The 19,615-nt window shown below is 46.3% G+C and overlaps 1 protein-coding gene across 2 annotated transcripts in view, besides 1 other annotated feature; it reads left to right on the top strand.

Annotated features, from left to right (window-relative positions):
* Positions 1–19,615, top strand: part of ZNF664-RFLNA (ZNF664-RFLNA readthrough) — a 342,810-nt gene that overhangs the window by 255,797 nt on the left and 67,398 nt on the right. The gene's annotated exons all lie outside the window — the stretch shown is intronic.
* Positions 12,303–13,205: an enhancer, noted in NCBI's record as "H3K4me1 hESC enhancer chr12:124725860-124726762 (GRCh37/hg19 assembly coordinates)". NCBI's record gives its function as "activates a minimal SCP1, AML or CMV promoter by ChIP-STARR-seq in primed H9 embryonic stem cells {active_cell/tissue: H9 hESC(primed)}" and the evidence as "EXISTENCE:reporter gene assay evidence [ECO:0000049][PMID:30033119]".

A 19,615-nucleotide genomic window follows, 5' to 3' on the forward strand; every position in this document is an offset into this window, starting at 1 on the left:
GCCCTGGCCACGTCACCTATGGGACCCCGGAATGCATTTCTGAGAGGCAGGCTCTGGCTGGGGTCTTACCCCACCTTTCTCAAACACTTTCTGTCCTGGGGCCCATGCACTCACGGCTCTTAGGGAGATCTTGGTGGGGTTCTGTGTCCCCTCTGACAGAGCCTAAATGCCCCCAATTCTTCACCCCCTTTTTCTAGCCACACCCTTTGCCACGTAACTTACTTTTCCCAGCTTTATTGAGCTTTATTTAAGTTTGATGGATTTTGGTGATTGTATACAGTCATGTAACGGCCCCCACAGATGAGATCTAGAGCACTTAGAAGATCCCCAAAACTTCCCTGTGCCCCCTGGCAATCAAACCTCACCCTCACCCCCAGCTCCAGGCAATCACAAACCTTTCTGTTGCTATAACTTTGCCTTTTGTAGCATTTTCTATAAATGTCTCCTCTTGAGTTTAGCTCCTTTCACTTCCATAATGCTTTTACACTCATTCACATTGTATGTGCATCAGTAATTCACTCTTTTTTGTTGCTGAGCAGGATTCTGTAGGGTGGATAGACTACAGTTTGCTTATGCACTCACCCATTGATGGACATCTGAGTTGTTTTTATTGGGGTGATTGTGAAAAGATAGCCCAGTGCTATAGACATTTGCATATTGGTCTTTGTGCAGATGTAGCTCATTTCTCTGGGGTAAACACTGAGTTGAGCAATTGCTGGGTTGCATGGTAAGTTTATGTTTAATTATAAATTCTGCTAGACTATGTTCCAAAGCTCTATCATTTTGCATTCCTGTCTGCAGTATGTGCAAGTTCCACTTGCTCCACATCCTTGCTAACACTTGTTATTGTCAGTCTTTTTAAACTTAGTCATTCTATGGGGTGTGCAGTGATAACTCCCTGTAGTTTTGATTCCTGCATTAACTTTGCAGCACCCTCTATGCTGGCCCTGGGCTCAGCCATGTGACTGGATTTGACCAACAGAATGAGGCAGAAGTGGCTGGGTCAGTTCCACATCTGAGTCTCAAGAGGCCTTGCATGTTTCTGCTTGGTCTCTTGCCCTCTGCTACACTCTTGAGAATGTCTGTGGGCTGGTCTGCTGGAGGGTAAGGGACACATGGAGCAATGCTGAGTGGCCCCAGTTGTCCCAGCAAGACCAACCTAGATCAGCCAATGGTCAGTCTTTCTGTATCTTTCATGACCTTGACACTTTTGAACAATACTGGCCAATTATGTAAAATGTCCCTCAATTTGGTTGTGTCAGATGTTTTTTCATGATTACATTGAGGTTATACAAGAATACCACGGAAGTGATGTCATGTCCTCAATCCATCTTACCAGGGGTGATGTTAACCTTATCACCTTTTCACTGGAGACATTGACCTTTGTTAAGGTGGCATCTGCCAGGTTTCTCTCTGTGTATTTAATAAGTATCTTATGGGGAGATACTTGAGAACTTCCAAATGTCCCCTTTCTCTTCATATTTTTACTTGATGGTTTTAGCATGCATCATTGATTCCTGCCTGCAGTAATTAAGACTGCCATATTTGCTTAATGGTGACTTTCTATTTCATCATCTCTCCTACACACTCATTCATTAGAACTCTACCATCAGGAAGAGCTGTGTGTTCTCCCCATCCTATTTATTAGATCAATCATTTATTCATAGCAGTATGGACTCATGGATACATATTTTATTCTGTGGGCAATACCCGTTACTATCATTATTTGTTTTTCTTGGCTTGAATATTCTCAGATTTGGGCTTTGGGTGCTTCTTGTAGTTTGCCGCAATGCCCTTTTGATGTGATGCTATCATTATTTTTAGTACATCCTTACTTTCCAACAGTATGGGATCATCTTTGTTTTCCCCATCCCAGTCCTGAAAGTAGCCCTTTCTCCAAGTGTTCACTGGTTGCTTGGTTGGAGAATGGTGCATAGGAACCAAGATCTGAGTGCAAGGGTGCTCTTCACTGTTGGGATGTCATTGCTTCTGGGTGTGTTGGAGCCAGCAAATATATATATGTACACTAATTCATGCATGCACACATTTGCATTTATTTATACATCTATCCATCTGCGTGTGTATACGTGTGTGTATATGTGTTACCATGAGTTAATACCAATTACTCTGATTTCAATCCAACACAATGGGTTCTTTCTAATTATTTTTAATTTCTCTCAAAATCACTTCTTCTGGTTCTTCCAGAAAATGAGCTCTTCACCTAGCTTAAGAATGTAGAGATGTCGTGTATGGTTGGGCAGGTTGTTCACTGTCCAAGGGTGTTCCAGCTGAGGAGAGCGATGGGAGCTGAAAGCATCCATGCTCTACTCCCTAAGCTCTGCACTCTAACATGTGCTCTGGGTCCACCAGAGTAAGGGATGCCCTCTTTTCACTTGTGCAAATGCACTGGGTGAGCTAGCAACAGACCTGGTCGACTGCTGTCTCGGGATATTTTTGTGTTTACTTGTGAAACACCCAGGCTTGGGCTGGATTCCCCCAGAGGCAGATTGTGAGCTGAGGATTTGAGTGCGAGGAGTATTTTGGGATGTGATTCCAGGAACCTCCCAGAGAGAAGCAGCGGGGAGTCAGGCAGGAAAGAAAGCATGCGTCAGGGAGCTGGTTACTACTGGGCCACCGAGGCTCCATCCCAGTAAGGAACCCTGGAAGACGGGAGGAACGCACCTTGGAGTTGCTTCCCTAAGGGATCAACTTCAGTTGGTCGCCACTCAAGGCTCCTCCTGAGGGGAGCAGGCACAGAGTCCCTGGCACTTCTGGCCCTGAGTGCCCAGGGGATGAGTGCGTGACATTGACGGCTTCTGCTGTCCTCTGTCTCCTGCTTTCCCCGTGGGATGAACTAGCTTGAGAGGCACAAGATTCCTGAGCAGGCAGAGGGACTCTGTAGGAGTCTCAGAGCTCCTGAGGCTGCACCCTCGCCCTGGAGCCCCATGAAATCTTCAATTTTGGGTTTTATGAGCTTCACAAACCTTCCAGGGGCCTCTCCGGCTCCGGATGGGGTGCGTTGGAGGCCTGGTGCCCACGTGTCTCCTGGGCCCTCCACCTGTGCCCCGCCTGTTTGCACAGTGTGCGTGAGCTGAGCACCTGAGTTTGCTCTTTGAATCAAGTGTTTAACTCACTCACGGTAATAGTGGCTGATAATTCTTGAGCTAACACACCTTCTACTTTGCGGCCTAGCCTTGTTTGCCTTTCAGCCCTGGTTTATTATCTTCCATCGGATGAAGCTTAGGAGCACCAGCGCTGCCTAGGGAAACCCTGGCCCCTCCTTCCCTGGGATCATCTGGGTCCCCCAGGGCTCAGGCTTTACAACCCCTGCTGCTTGGTTACCCACCTCCCACCTGGGGCCCCTGACAGATCAGGGGACAAGCAGATAGAGGGCTCACCAGTGCAGTCCAGTGTATGCTGCCGGGCGGGCCGGAGCAGAGTGAGTCAGATTTGGCTTTTTATAATCATCCAGGTGCCAGGGTGGGCACGCGTCCTGGGTCATCCTTCCAGCGAGGGCTCACATCATAGCCTGTCACCAGCAGTAATTCAGCAGGAGGGTTTAGTTTCCTCCCTATGGGATCAGCGAGGGCAGCTGTCTAAGCCCCAGGCACACTGCCTAGGGCGGACGTGGGGGTGGGGGCCGTCCTCCTAGGGCTGCCCTGCCTCTTGGCAGGTGATCAGCCTTCACCTCCTTGTGTGGTTTAGGGGGGCTGCCTCCTGTCTATGTCAGAGGGCTTCTCAGAAACAGGCACCGCTGTAGGGGCAGCAAGATGACTTCACTTGGAAAATGGAATGTACTTAAACGAGATCAAGCCACCTCGTGGAGAAGCCATTCCCTTCCAATTTGTTTTAATCCTGCTGATTATTGCAAAGAGAAAGACTTAGCCTGGTGCTAATGAGTCTTTAATGCCTCTGAGGACTTCCTAAGTTTTCCTTTTTTTTTCTAAACAAGAAAAGTTAAGCCTCAGGCTGTTCATCCTTCTAGTTGGAATTTAATAACCGTGTTTTGTTTTCATAGAATTTACCTTTGGAGTTGTTTATTCATGGCAGGGCCTCCTGGTTTTCCATTTTGGGGAGTGATAGGAAGTTTTCCATTAAATTAATTTATTGTATATATTTTTTTACAGTGAGTCCTTAATATATTTTGTAGGTAATAGTATGGGTGAGGTTGGCAAACTATGGCCCTGGGCTAAATCTAGTGTATAGCATGTTTTTGTCAATAAAGCTTTATCAACACACAGCCACGCCTGTCATTTGCATATTATATTACTATGGCTGCTTTAATGCAGAGATGAGTAGTTGCATCAGAGATTGTCTGGCCCACAAAACCTGAAATATGGACCATCTGACCCTGTACAGAAAAAGTGTGCTGATCTGTTATATATGGTACATGATTGGTAATAGGTATTATATCAGTGACGTTGACAGAGCAAAAATATGGAAGGTAATATGCAAATAACTAAAGTACCGGAAAATACTTGGCAAATCCCAAGAAACTAAACAGAAATTCCATTGGGAGGGCCTTTGGTAACCACAGAAAATTTCCAGCCTTTCAATTGTGTGCCTGGCTGTTTGCCTGATCACTTTATCACTTTGAGATACTGCACTGATGACTCCATGAGCTGGAATTCACTGTGTTCATATCCTTTCCTGGTTCTGGGAGGATTGTGGTTGGGTACATTGGCGGCATAAATACCCAGTTTCTCCCTCTCTTTTTCTGTCTGGTCAGACTTTAATTTTCTTCTTTAACTTGGGCTCTAGACCTATGTCTGGTTTCCCACGCAGTCCTCTGGTAGCTCTGGTTTCCAGTTAATTCCTTAATTACGGTATCTACCTCCAATTCCGCAAGCATTTCCTGAGCTAAACGCTGAGTTGGAGATAGGCAAGTGAAAGACATGACCTGTCCCCACGGACAGCGCACATCGCAGGGAACTCATCACCAGCACCTCAGGGAGCTCTCATCACTATTGTCATTGCTGCCACCACCAGCAAGAAGAAGCAACTAAGCCCCAGTTGTTATCTACAGTGGACCACTAAACACTTGCCTAAATCACCAGGCCAGCTTAACAAAAGTGGCCCACTAGACAAGAGAGGACAGAAGACCGGGTGCCCTGGCATGTCCGTAGGGCCTCTGTGCTAACCATCCCCCAGGCCAGAAGTGCTCTCCCTTGCTTTCTCATGGCTGGATCTTTCTCAATGTTCCCTTTGCATTTTAAACATACAAAAGACCTTCCCTGCCTACTTGATCTACTAAAGTGCCATGGTTACTTTCTATTACTTTACTCTGTTTAATTTCTCTTGCAGCACTTCTCACTATCTGAAGTGATCTGGTTTGTTGATCAGCTTCTTTATTTCTGTCTTCCCTGATGTGAATACAAGCCCGCAGCCTGTCTGCTCAAGAGCTGTACCCTCAGGGTGTAAAATAGTGGCTGGCACAGTGAGTGTTCACTAAATGCTTGCCAAATGAATACATAAACCCTGTGGGTTTTTGAAAAAGGAACTAACATGCAATACCACCACTTGTGATTCTTCACAGTTAAAAAGGAAAGAGAAGTTTCACCTATGAGTTTTATACAGGGAAAACATGAACAGGTTTGATCAAGAGCCACAACATAAATTATAAAGTCAAAAATTAACATCATTAGAGATTTTTTTTGGCGAATTATCATGCCTGATGGTCCTTCTGCATCACTTTAATTCTTAATATTGTCATCATTGCCATGATCACCATCACCATGACAGCATTGCAGTTTGAGGATAATAAAATGTTAAGGACCCTAGAGAATATCTGGGGAGAGGCCTTGTCATACTCATGAAGAAATCCGAGGTCCAGAAAGATGACATGAATTGCTAAAGCATTTTTCCATGCAGTCCTCTGGTAGGTCTGGGTTCCAGTTAATCCAATTGTCACCACCACCACCACCATCACCACCATCACCTCCATCATCACCATTACCACCATAATCATCATCACCACCACCATCATTATCACCATCACCATAACCACCACCATCACCATCACCATCACCACCACCATCATCACCATCACCATCACCATCACCACCACCATCACCACCATCACCTCCATCATCACCATCACCATCACCACCACCATCACCATCATCAGGGTCATCACTGTCATCACACTGTCATCACTGTCATCACTGTCATCACCACCATCATTACCATCATCACCACCATCAGGACTACCATCCACAAATGAGCCATCTTTAGAATGCCTCAATGCTTGAAATACCCTAAGGGTGCCACAAGTGGTTCCAGATGAAAAACTCCTTAAGAACATTGGGAACCGCTATCTTGTCATAGCACCAACACTCTTGTGCAACGCCCCCTAGGCTGAAAACAGATCAGGGTCGTCTCCTGCCAGGAAGAGAAACTTCTTATGGCTCTGTTCAAATTCCCTAGAAAAATATCTGTGGCTGAGGAAGTTGTATAGTAAATTTTAGTGGTTTGTACATACAATTTCTAAAACTCCCTTTCCCCTGTTATTTATTTGCTTACTCTAATTTAAGCACTTAAGGAAGACCCAAAATTCAGTGAGTGAGTCCCCATCAACCACCAGAAACAGAAAACAGGTGTGTTGTGCTGACAGCCACATGACCAAGGCTGGGAGGGCTCCCCTCCCTGAGACGCCAAGATAAACACACCCACAGCATCGCCCTGGAAATGGTGGCTTACAGTTCAAATGCTCAGGAGGGGATAGGAAAAAAAAATCAGGACAGCACCATAGAGAACAATTTCCGTCATCAACTTCTGTGCTCCTCCTAAGGGCAGAGGACCTGCAAATTACACCACAGCCCCTTGAGTAGTTTCCACAAGGACCGATGTTGATGGGGATCTAGAAAAACAAAGGCAAGCCATGCCCCAGACAAGTCTCCATCTCAGAAGCGGAAGTCCTTGGCATAAGCCAACCATATTGGCAAAGCCCTCGCTGGGTGAAAAGTGCAAAGCGAGGACAAATTGATGATGAGAAAACCAAGTCTGAAGATTTACTTGGACAAGCTAAAGGCAAGGAGACAGAGCTGGAGCTGAAAAAAGAAATCCAGTGTTAACAGGAGGTGCCCAGTGTGTTAACGGCTGTTGTCCAATATGGTAGCTGCTGGCCACATGTGGCTACTGAACCCTGAAATGTGGCCAATGCAACTGAGAAACTGGATTTTTAGTTTAATTTAATTTTAATCAACCTAAATTCAAAAACTGATACTTGATTCAGTTGTTAGGAAACTTTTGAAGTATGTTTGAAACAACTTTAGAAGGTGAATCTAGCTTTTCAACTGTGAACGGAGTCTTTTATGGAATTTACAGTTTTTAAATAACTGATGAAATGTACATAACTTTACAAATTTTCCATTAACATATAACATGCAAATTGACATACAAATAAGTATAAAATGCACATTGGATTTCGAAGACTTGGTACCAAAAAATAATGTAAACTATCTCATTCGTATTTTTTAATATTGTTGGCCTGTTGAAATGGTAATATTTTAGATGTGCTGGGTTAAGGAATATATGTTATTAAAATTATCTTCACCTACTTCTTTTTATTTTTTCATGTGGCCAATAGAAAATTTAAAACTACATATGCAGCTTGAATTCTGTTTCTATTGGACAGGGTGGCTGCAGTCAGTCGGGAGCTGACAGATACTTCTGGCCAGAGCGGCTGTTGACACCGCTCAATTGTTCTGGTGTCTCCTGTCCTGTGCCCACTCCCCGGCCACCACCTTGGGAGTAAATGTTAGCTGAGAAGCTGTTGCTCACCCAGAGAGGAAGTTGGGTGTAATTAGAAAACCGAATCATAACTTAGATATTTTACAGCTCCCTCTGTTATCATGGACTCTGGAACATTCCACAGAGTCTCAATACCCTGAGTAATTTCTGGGGAATTCTGACTCTGATCACCCAAGTAATTGGGTCAGCCTTGGTCTGACTTCTCAAAACCCCAAAAGTCCTATGCCCTGAATATGCCAGACTCTGTGGACCAGCTGATGTACCCTGAGCTGCCGCAGGAAGATTCTAGAGTTTGAGATACATAAGAATACAATGGTTTTGTAAATCTAAAATTATTTCAAATTAAAAAGTTTATTTTAAAAAATATGTAACAAGTCTTGGGCCTGAAGCCAACCTGAAGATTCCTCATTTTATGACCCCAAGATATGGCTTAGTAGTTCCTGAAGGAGTCATTCTCTAGTTCTCTGCCTACCAATATGGCAGCCACCAGCCCTGTGGGGCTACTGAGTGCTTTCTCCCTTCGGGTGGAGATGGATCACATGGAGATACGCCACACATGTGAAATACACACCGAATTCCAAAGGCTTAGTATGGAAAAATCATGCAAAATATCACCTTAATAATTTGTATATACTGATCACGTGTTGAAATGATAATATTTCAGATATACTGGGCTAAGTAAATTACATTATGAAAATTAATTTCACCTGTTCACCTGTTTCTTTTCACCCTTGTTAGTGTGGCCACTAGGAAATTCAAAATACACACACAGTTTGCACTTGTGGCTCAAATTCCATTTCTTTTTTTTGAGATGGAGTCTTGCTCTGTCGCCCAGGCTGGCGTGCAATGGCACCATCTCGGCTCACTGCAACCTCTGCCTCCCGGGTTCAAGCGATTCTCCTGCCTCGGCCTCCCGAGTAATTTTTATATTTTTAGCAGAGACGGAGTTTCGCCACGTTAGCCTTGCTGGTCTCAAACTCCTGACCTCAGGTGATCCACCCGCCTCGGCCTCCCAAAGTGCTGGGATCACAGGTGTGAGCCACTGGGCCTGGCCTTTTTTTTTTTTTGAGATGGAGTCTCGATCTGCCGCCCAGGCTGGAGTGCAGTGGTGCAACCTCAGCTCACTGCAACCTCCGGCCCCTGGGTTCAAGCGATTCTCCTGCCTCAGGCTCCCGAGTAGCTGGGACTACATGCGTGTGCTATCACGCCCAGCTAATTTTTAGCAGAGACAGGGTTTCACCATGTTGGCCAGGCTGATCTCGAACTCCTGACCTCAGGGGATCTGCCTGGCTCGGCCTCCCAAAGGGCTGGGATTACAGGCGTGAGCCACCGTGCCTGGCCTCAAATTCTATTTCTATTGGACATTGCCACTCCAGGACATCCTTCCTCCACCCTCAGAGGATGAGCTGTTCTCCTCTGATGGACACCTCATGAGATCCTATTCTGCATCTGCCCAGTGTGGCCACAGACAGGTCCCACCTCTGTAAGCCTCGTTCTCCTCGAGGAGAGGAGAATGCCTGTAACAGGTGAGAGAGCCTGGAAAATGGGTACTATAGTATTGTCTATGTCAGGGGGATGCTATGAGGAGTATTACCTGCAAAACGCTCGCTGCCCTGCCCACGGCATCAAAACCCTTCAGTCAATAAATCAAATATTATTTTTCATCTCTACTCCCACCCTTCCATCCGCTCTTGAGTCTGACCCTTTTTCATTTACCTCCAAGTTTTGCTTGCTTTCTCAACCCTCCTCCAAAACATCTTCCCCTCTTTCCCTACAAAACCCTTCCATCTTCAAAGATGCTTGGTTCTTCCCAGTTCTTGAAGTAAAACATCTCTTTCCTTGGACTTGTCTGATGACGGACTGTTCGATTTCTCTCCTTCCCTTTGCAACTCATGCGAGTGACCCACGTTTCCTTTGTCTGCTTTTGACCCGTCCACTCCTTTCAGGACCCCTGGTCAAGCCAGCCTCTGCCCACAGCCCGGGACTGACAGCACTCTCCAAAATTCACCGGGATCTTCATCTCACCACGCCTAAAGCCCCTTTACCCAGTTTCAGCCTTCTTAGCTTTTTAATTTTTTTAAACCAAGAACAAGAAAACTTCAAAATGCTCATTTAAAAGTACTTTTAATTACAGCAATCCAGCCCTCTCCCAGTGGGTCCCTAGGACTCTGCACCTTCCTGGGATGAGTGGGTAGGAGGTTGCCTGCATTTTTAATCTCTAAGCTCTTTGCGTTTGGGGAGTGAGGTCGTTCCTGTTTGGAAAGGCTGTTCTTATCTGGATGGAGCCCCACCTGTTTCCCTGGAGGGCAGAGTTCGCTGGGGAGTAACAGGAGTTAAGGCCTCCAGGTCCTCACAATCTTCATGTCACATGAGCTAAGCAGTAAACAGCTCTCCAGGACCCAAATAAAAAGGTCTTTATGGAGAGAACAAACACAAAGAAATGCCAGGATCCAATTCAAATGAATAAATAAACCCAGTTCCAAAGGCTGCAGGCCACAGGATTTCGGGGAGACTGAGCCAAGCAAGTTGGTTTCTTGAGAGTTGTTTCTGAAAGGGAAGGAGGAAGAAAGATTTCAGGGCCCGTCAGCAGATCCCAGCATCTCCAGACCCAGATCCATGAGCCATCTAGAAGTGAAAGAAGTTTCCCAACCAACAACTGTCCTACCAAATGTTGCGTTGGAAAATCAAAGTGAGATGACTCTCACAGGACCCGGGAACAGGGGACTCCAGGCATCCCGGGCCTGTGCGGGAGTTGGGGACCTGGGAGATGCTGACAACCAATGCAGGCTCTAGCAATCAGTGTCTTGTGATCTCAGCAACGCTGGGTCATCTGTCCCATGCCAGCATGGGGGGCTGGCCACTCTCTGTCCTGGCCTCTGCCACTCCATCCTTGTACAGCTTCACCCACCTCACCCCCTTCTCTGATGACTTTTTCTTTTCCCCACTGTTTCTTGTACTCATAATGTTCACACAAAGCTTCTCACAGCCCCGCGCCTGATGGTCCCAGCACTCTCTGCCTTCTCCGTGTCCAGGTTTCCGCTTCAGTTATGATGAGCCAACTCTCTCTGTATTCCTTATCTGAAATCCTGAGAATCAGATTATGGCGACAGAATCTCCTGGACTGCTAATCCCTTCTCATGAGCATGTTGTCAGATCTTGCCCTCGGCAGGAGCTATGCCGCCATGGCCCTAGCCAGGGAGCCTGGGTCCAGCAGGCACCCTGATTGGACAGGCTGGCACAACTTTCCTTCTGCAAGAGACAAAGCAGCTCACCCATCCATTCAGTCCATCAACATTTTAAAAGTATTTTTTATGTGCTGAGCGCTCAACAAGGAAACATGGGAGAAATAAACATCATTCTTGCCTTGCAGGAGCTCTCAGTGTGGAGAGAGGGACAGAATCATGATCAGCACCTAAGACAAGACCCAAGGTACAGTGATTGAGCTGGGGGCACCAGGAGTGAGGGTTAGTCACGTAGTAGAGACCATCAGGAGCAGGGCTGAGTCCCTAGGGCAGGTCGGAGTGTAGCCATAGTAAGTGTGGGGGAAGAGAGGATGAAAGGCACACACACAAAGGTTTGTTGGGCGGTATGGGTATTGCTGGCCCATAAAACAGAGACAAGAAGTGGCAGGAAATGAGTAGAAAGGGACTTGGATGCCATTTTAAGGACCTGGGTCAGTGCATGGCAAGTGATAAGGGAGCCACTTCAGGATTCTAAGCAGAAGGGTGTCCTGTCCATCCTGGCATTGAACATGAGTCACTCTGTGGAGCAGGGAAGTTGGTTAACGGAGACTGCCAGTGGCCTCTAAATCCCCTGTTCCTCTCCTTCCTGGGCTCCTCCCCACTCCCCCCAACAGACTACATTTCCCAGCACCCCTTGCCTCTAGGCAGGGTCATGTGATTAGTTCCAGCCAATGGATCATTAGCCAGAGTGATATGGCCACTTCCAGGTCTGGGCCCTAAAAGCTCCTGAGAGAAACTCCAAGCTCTTCTCTGTCTCCCAGCTGGACACAGAGGATCCAGTGAAGGATGCTGGGATGGAGACACAACATGGAAGAAGCCTGGGCCCCTGAACCACCATATGGAAGACCATCCTATGTCAGCATGAATGGGAAACACATTTTCCCTGTGTTAAGCCACTTTAGTTTTGAGATTGTTATTGGAGCAGTGAGGACTACAGCAGCTGCTGTTGAGAGATGATAGGAGCCTAAATCAGTGGGTGGAACAGATTCAAGCAATTTTAGGGCAATACCGTAATTATCACTTGACAATCAATTCCATGCAGGATGTGACAGAGAGGAAGGCACATCTAGCACAGGACAGGTGGACTGAGAATTTAGAAGGAAGAAAGGGCTTAGAAGGAAGGCAATGAGTTAATGCTCAGACTCAGGGGAACTGTGAGCTCCAGTGGAGATGTCTAGGAAGCTTGGGTGAGAAGTCTGCACCGAATGTGTACATAGATGGTACTTTGAGCCAAGAGAGCAATGAAATCCCAAAAGAAGAGGCAGGTGAGGTAGAAAAAGAAGTGACGTTAGACTTGGGGTCCAGCACATTTGAGGGGTACTCAGGGCTGGAGGATCCCACCGAAGAGATGAAGGAGGACGAGTCCGTGAGGTAGGAGATAACCAAGGACAGTGAGCATCATGGAAGCCCAGAGAGAAGCCAGGCTGCCGCAGTCCCCAGGGCTCTGTAACAAGTGATCCCCTCACTTCACAAGGGCAATGTTTATTTGCTGACGTTTGTTTTGGTAGGGCTAGGTGGGGACAGCCTCATCTCTGCTCCACTTGGCCTCAGCCAGAGTGACTTGGTGGCTGACAGCTGGAGCCACCTGAAGTCATGCACACTGTGGGCCTGATGTCCATTGAGGGGCCGAAGTCCACTGAGGCTCAGGCCAAATGGACAGTGATGGCCTCAGGAATGTCAGAAGACAGGGGGACGAAGGCCATCGGAAGTGGCTCTCGCTCCATTCTCATCCCATTAGCTAAGGCAAGCCTTGGGCTGAGCCCTTCAATGGGGAAGGGAAAAAAACACTGTCCACTCTCATAGTGGGCACTGCCAAGTCACCAGAAGGGGTGAGCATGTGACTGAAGCCCACAGGTGCCCTTGATGGACCAGAGTGGCAAAGGTGCCCCATTTCCATAAAAAAACGCTCTGTTTGTGCACTGCAGCAAGGCCGACAGTCCTGGCAGGTGAGGCTACGCTACAGGCACTTCGGTGAGAGCAGCAGGGACGGACGGCAGGGAGCCGCGACTCGATCCGCCGTAAGGGGTACTGTGAGCATACATTATTTTCCTCTGCCTGGTCAAAACAAAGACAAATGCAAATTACAAGAACATTGCAGACAACAAAAGAAAAATCCCGGAATCCCTCGTCTCTAGAAGTTTACACCTTGAAGCGTTGGAGTTTATGTTTGGCAAAAGCTCCAGCCTACTTCACCAACTAGAAACGCATGAGTTAAAAAGGAATGTTCTCTGCTGAAGCAAAATTTTGAAAAAGTCTAGAACTATCCGCCCATCTCTTCAAAGCTTACCTGGGGTCCTGTTTCCTGACTTCAACGCCTGTAACAGCTGAGATCTCTCTTCCCCAGCCAGGACCTGGTGAGTCCCTGGTTGGCTTTGCTGCTCTGCAGAAACAATGGGGTGTTTTTTTGAGGGAAATGGAGCATCTTTGCTGCTGTGGTCCATCAGCTGCACCCCTGGTTTTGACCTATGGTCTGGCCATTCAGGGGGCAGCAGGGTTGAGGAGGGGCTCAAAATAATGACATCTGTGTCTTTGCCCCAGACATCCGCCAACCACACTGGGCTCTTGAGAGACTTGGAGCAAAGTGGAAGGGCAGGGTGCAGAGCCTGGGGGCTGCCCAGAGGGCTGGGGAGCTGGCCCAACTCTGGGCTCCCTGAAATCCTCAGACTCTTTTTCAAACAGCTGGGGGATTGCTTAACACCCACAGTCGGTTTTTCCAAGTTCTGCTTTCTTCCCCTTGATTTAACCCTATATGTAGCTCGGTGGAAATTTCACCTTTGCATGGGCCTGAATGTGCATGCACCTGTGTGCACTTGTGCATTTATGCATGTGGGTGCACGTGCACATGGGTGCGCGTGCATGTGGGTGCACGTGCATGTGGGTGCACGTGCATGTGTGAGTATGTTTGCACACACATAGGGCAATAGTACAGAGAATAGGAACTTGGGAACTGGGCACTGAGTCTACAAAAATTACCAGCAATAAATTCATCTCGATTTCTATCACCCACTGGTACCCAACAAGGATAAGTTGGAATCATTTTTTAAAGTTGATGCTATATCATTCCATAGTGAAGAGGAGGGTTATGGATTGAATTGCACTCCTGCCCATTCATACCTCAAAGTGCTAATCCCCAGCGCCTCGGAATGTGACCTCGGTTGGAAACGAGGTTGTTGCAGATGTCATTAGTTAAGATCATACTGGAGTAGCGGGGCCCCTAGTCTGGTATGATCAGTTTCATTATAAAAGGGAGAAAGTGGAACAGAGGCGCACACACAGGGAGACCCTGAGGGAAGACTGAATTCTGCTGTCACCAGCCGAGGAAGTACCAGGAGCTGGAGAGAGGTGTGGAACAGACCCTTCCCTGGCACCCTGTGAGGGAGCATGGCCCCGCTGACACGTGGATCTCAGATGTGGAGCCTCCAGAGCTGTGAGATAATAAATTTCTGTTGCTTAAGCTGCTCCGTGTATGGTACTTTGTTACGGTGGTCCTGGGAGACTAACACAGGAGTTATGATGCTGTCGATTTCCAATGACGAGTGGTTAAAAACGCACTCCTTTTTGGTTCTTTGGGATGCATTTTATATATTCTTCTAAGACTCGCTTTCCTATTTTGTTTGTTTGTAATTTTGTCAGGGAGATGTAAACTAATAAACAAATGAACCCGCGTTTCCTTACCACGCATGCCTGCATTCCTCTTTCCAAGGAATAAGTCTTTCTTTACTCTCCTCCAAACTGGGTGTTTCACTCACATTCTCCTTATTGTTTCCTTCGTCACCTTTTTCACTCTCAGCTTTTATTTTAGGTCCAGCGGGTACATGTGCAGGTTTGTTACGTGAGTAAATTGCATGTCGCTGAGGTTTAGGGTGCAAATGATCCCGTCACCCAGGTAGTAAGCATAGTGCCCGAAGGGTAGTTTTTCAACCCACATCCCCCTGCCACCCTCCTCTGTCTAGTAACCCCAGTGTCTATTGTTCCCATCTTTGTGTCCATGTGCACTCGCCGTTTAGCTCTCACTTATAAGTGAAAACACCCAACATGGTTTTCTGTTCCTGTGTTAGTTCACTTAGGATAATGGCCTCCAGCTGCCTCCATGTTGCTGCAAAGAACATGATCTTGTTCTTTTTTATGGCTGCGTAGTATTCCATGGTGTGTATGTACCACATCTTTATCTAGTCCACCAATGATGGGTATCTAGGTTGATTCATGTTCTTTGCTGTAGTGAATAGTGCTGGGATGAATTGGTAGAACAATTTATTTTCCTTTGGGTATATACTCCATAGCAGAATCACTGGATCGAATGGTAGATCTAAGTTCCTCAAGAATCTCCACACTGCTTTCCGTAGTGGCTGAACTAATTTATGTTCCCACCAATAGTGTGTAAGTGCTCCCTTTTCTCTGCAGCCTTGCCAGCAACTGTTGTTTTTTGACTTTTTGATAATAACCGTTCTGACTGGTGTGAGATGATATCTCATTTTGGTTTTGATTTGCATTTCTTTAGTGATTAGTGATGTTGAGCATTTTTTCCTATATTTGTTGGCTGCATGTATGTCTTCTTTTGAGTAGTGTCTGTTCATGACTTTTGCTCATTTGTTTTTTGTTTTTTGTTTTTTTTTTTTGAGACAGTTTTACTCTTGTCACCCAGGCTGGAGTGCAATGGTGCAATCTCAGCTCACTGCAACCTCCGCCTCCTGGGTTCAAGTGATTCTCCTGCCTCAGCTTCCTGAGTAGCTGGGATTACAGGTGTGCACCACCACGCCCGGCTAATTTTTGTATTTTTAGTAGAGATGGGATTTCACCATGTTTGCCAGGCTGGTCTCGAACTCCTGACCTCAGGTAATCCACCCGCCTTGGCCTCCCAAAGTGCTGGGATGACAGGCATGAGCCGCCACACCCAGCCCTTTTGCCCATTTTTGATGGGGTTGTTTCTTGTTTGTTGAATTGTTTAAGTTCCTTGTATTCTAGATATTAGACCTTTATTGGATGCATAGTTTGTGAATATTTTCTCCCATTCTGTAGGTTGTCTGTTCACTCTGTTGATAGTTTGTTTTGCTGTGCAGAAGCTCTTTAGTTTAATTAGGTCCCTACTTGTGAATTTTTGTTTTTGTTCCTTCAACACTTAAAAAAAAATAACACCACCACCCTTCCTCACCCCAATCAAGTGGGGTGTGAGGCAGTGGTCTTTTTTTTTTGTTTTTTTTGAGACAGTCTCGCTCTGTCGCCCAGGCTGGAGTGCAGTGGCGTGATCTCGGCTCACTGCAAGCTCCGCCTCCCAGGTTCACGCCATTCTCCTGCCTCAGCCTCCCGAGTAGCTGGGACTACAGGCACCTGCCACTACGCCTGGCTAATTTTTTGTATTTTTAGTAGAGACAGGGTTTCACCGTGTTAGCCAGGATGGTCTTGATCTCCTGACCTCGTGATCCGACTTCCTCGGCCTCCCAAAGTGCTGGGATTACAGGCGTGAGCCACTGCGCCCGGCAGCAGTGGTCTTGATAGCCAAGAAAGTGGTTGTCTGGATAAGCTCCCGCAGCCTCACCATCTCAGCTCTGTAATTTACTAGCTCCAAGACTTCAGGTGAGTCACTAAACAGCCAGTAGCTTCAGTGTCACCAGCCGCAAAACAGGGACAATGACACCTCATGAGACCTGAATAAAGTAGTGCAAATAATGCATTATATCCAGACCATAAGAAAATGAAAAAGTTGAGTTTTCCAAGATGCATTGAATTTGCTCATTCATTTGGCAAACGCAATCAAGAACCTCCTCCTGCCTGTCTTGCTGTGTTCTGGGTGCGGCAATGCAAATGTTGATCAGAATAGTCCCCACCCTTAGGACTTTACCATCCTGTTCTTCACTAGAATGTGATTAGGCCTGGGAGAATTAGATGAGATGGGGACTTTTCAGCAATATGTGATAGAAATCCAGCTCAAACCTACTGAGACAGAAAATGACATTTACTGACTCACTTAACTGAAAAATCCAAGGGCAGATGGCTTCGGGCGTGGCTGGACGTGGGTGCTCAAACACTGTTATCAGGAATTGACCCCTCTCCACCCCTTAGTTCTGCTTTGCCTGACTTTGGTGTCCTTCTTAGGTGATAAGGTGGCTACCAGCTGCTTCTGGCTTATATTGTACTCATTTAGAAAACCAGCAGTAGAATCTTTTGCCCAAAATACCAACCAAAGTCTTATGGAGTGCTCACATTGGCTTGGCTTTGGTCATGCCCCTGTTTAGTGACCCATGCCCCTATTTAGTGACCCAGTTATATGGCCATGGGTTGGAAATGTACTGAATGGCCAGGTTTGGTTCACGGACCCATTCATGATGCCAGGAGGGAAGAATCAGCCCCTCTCAAGTCAGATGGATTGAATATAGAAAAGCAGTGATTCGGTCAGGTGCGGTGGCTCACGCCTGGAATCCCAGCCCTTTGGGAGACTGAGGCGGGCAGATCACAAGGTCAGGAGATCGAGACCATCCTGACTAACATGGTGAAACCCCGTCTCTACTAAAAATACGAAAAATTAGCCGGGTGTGGTGGTGGGCACCTGTAGTCCCAGCTACTAAGGAGGCTGAAGCAGGAAAATGGCATGAACCTGGGAGGCGGAGCTGGCAGTGAGCCAAGATTGCGCCACTGCACTCCAGCCTGGGTGACAGAGCAAGACTCCATCTCAAAAAAAAAAAAAAAAAAAACAAAACAAAAAGAAGAGCAGTGATTCCCCCTAAAAGGAAAATATGGGAATAAATATTGAGCGGGCAGAAACAATAGATGTCTGTTACAGAAACGGGGAAGGGAGCAAGTGCTCTGCCTAAGAGAAGAGTAAAGCTGCTAGGGAAGCTTCAGGAAGGGGAAATGAAACTGTGTTAGAGTTCCCCCAGGATAAAAATGGGTTATAAAAGGAGGAATTGCAGCAGAGGAAAATAGTTTGTGCAAAATACTTAGACCTATGTTCCCTAGAGGACAAGTCATTCTGTAAAGGCTAGGGTAAAGCTAATCTAACAGGGAACTTGATTTACTTGCTTGCGGTTAAGAGAACAGGCTGACATCCATAGTTTTGTTTCTTAGATTGTATGTTTCAGTTCCAGAATTTCTATTTGACTCTTTTTTATAGTTTCTGTTTCTCTGCTGAGATTTCCCATCTGTTTATTCATTGTGAGTATATTTTCCTTTATAATACTGAATGCAATAATAATAGCTGCTTTAAAATCCTCATCTGATAATTCCAAAGTCTGGATCATTTCAAGGTTGGTCTACACAAATTGTCTTTTCTCTTGAAAAGAAAAGAAAAGACTTTTTTCTTGAAAAGAAAAGAACATGGGCCCCATGTACCTGGTTGTATGTCAAATAATTTTGGATTGCATCTTGGGTCTTATGAAAGTTATTTGTGAAGACTTTGGACTCTGTTATATTTCTGCAAAGAGTTTTGTTGTCTTGTTGTTAAACAGAGGATTGAGTTGCTTGGGCTGAACCTTCAGACTGTCTCTCTTGGAGTTTTTAGATATGTGGAGATAAAAAGGGGCTGGTGACAGGGAGAGCAAAGGTCATTGTCATCCTGTTTCCCTGACTTGCTGCCTTCCTCCTGAGAGACAGCATGCCCAGAAGAGGAACTCCCTCTCGGGATACAGATCTGCTTATCCTGGGGAGCTTTAATGTCAAGGAAATGTGGTTCGTTAATGGCTGCAGAGATTGATCTCTGTGCTCTCTGAAGCTGTCTAATATGCTGTGATTTTCATGTCTAGCCTTCCACAGGGCAATAAGATAGGTCTTAGCTCTCATTAGCAAGCTTTGTGCTTTAAAGCCCTAAGAAGGAGCTACAAAAATTTAATGAAAGTTGAGTGTAAATGGTATAACCATTTGAAAAGCATTTTGGCAGCATCCAGCAAAGCTTAGGCTGTGCACACTCTGTAAGCCTGCAGTCTCTCTCCTAAATATATCCCCCAGAGCCATGTCTCTCAAACTCTTCAGATCATGACCCACAGGAAGAACATCTATATCCCAATCCTGCCGGCACCTATGCATGCAGACACCACACCTCTGAAGCAAAAGTGCCATGACATATTACTTACTATGTGTGATGCATTTCTAATACTGTTTTTTCCTATTATTTTTAATGCTGGGCATGGCTCACCAAATTGATTTCAATACTTATTAATGGCTACAACTCTCATTTTGAAAAATACAACCCTTGAGAAACAAGGAGACGTGGACAAGAGTATTCCTGCAGCATTGTTCATGATGGAAACAGGAAACAACCTAAGTAGCCATCAACAGGAGTATAGACAAATAAATATTCATACAAGGGGACATTACACCGTAGTGAAAGTGGATGGACTACTGCGGTGTGTGTCAGCGTGAATGAAGTTAGAAATTGTAATATTAAGGCCGGGTGTGGTGGCTCACACCTGTAATCCCAGCACTTTGGGAGGCTGAAGTGGGTGGATCACCTGAGGTCAGGAGTTGGAGACCAGCCTGGCCAACATGGTGAAACCCCCTCTCTATTAAAAATGCAAAAATTAGCAGGGTGTGGTGGTGGGCGCCTATAATCCTAGCTACTCTGGAGGCTGAGGCAGGAGAATTGCTTGAACCCGAGAGGCAGAGGTTGCAGTGAGCCAAGATTGTGCCACTGC

Source organism: Homo sapiens, chromosome 12 (genome assembly GCF_000001405.40).
Source record: "Homo sapiens chromosome 12, GRCh38.p14 Primary Assembly".
Lineage (NCBI taxonomy): Eukaryota > Metazoa > Chordata > Mammalia > Primates > Hominidae > Homo > Homo sapiens.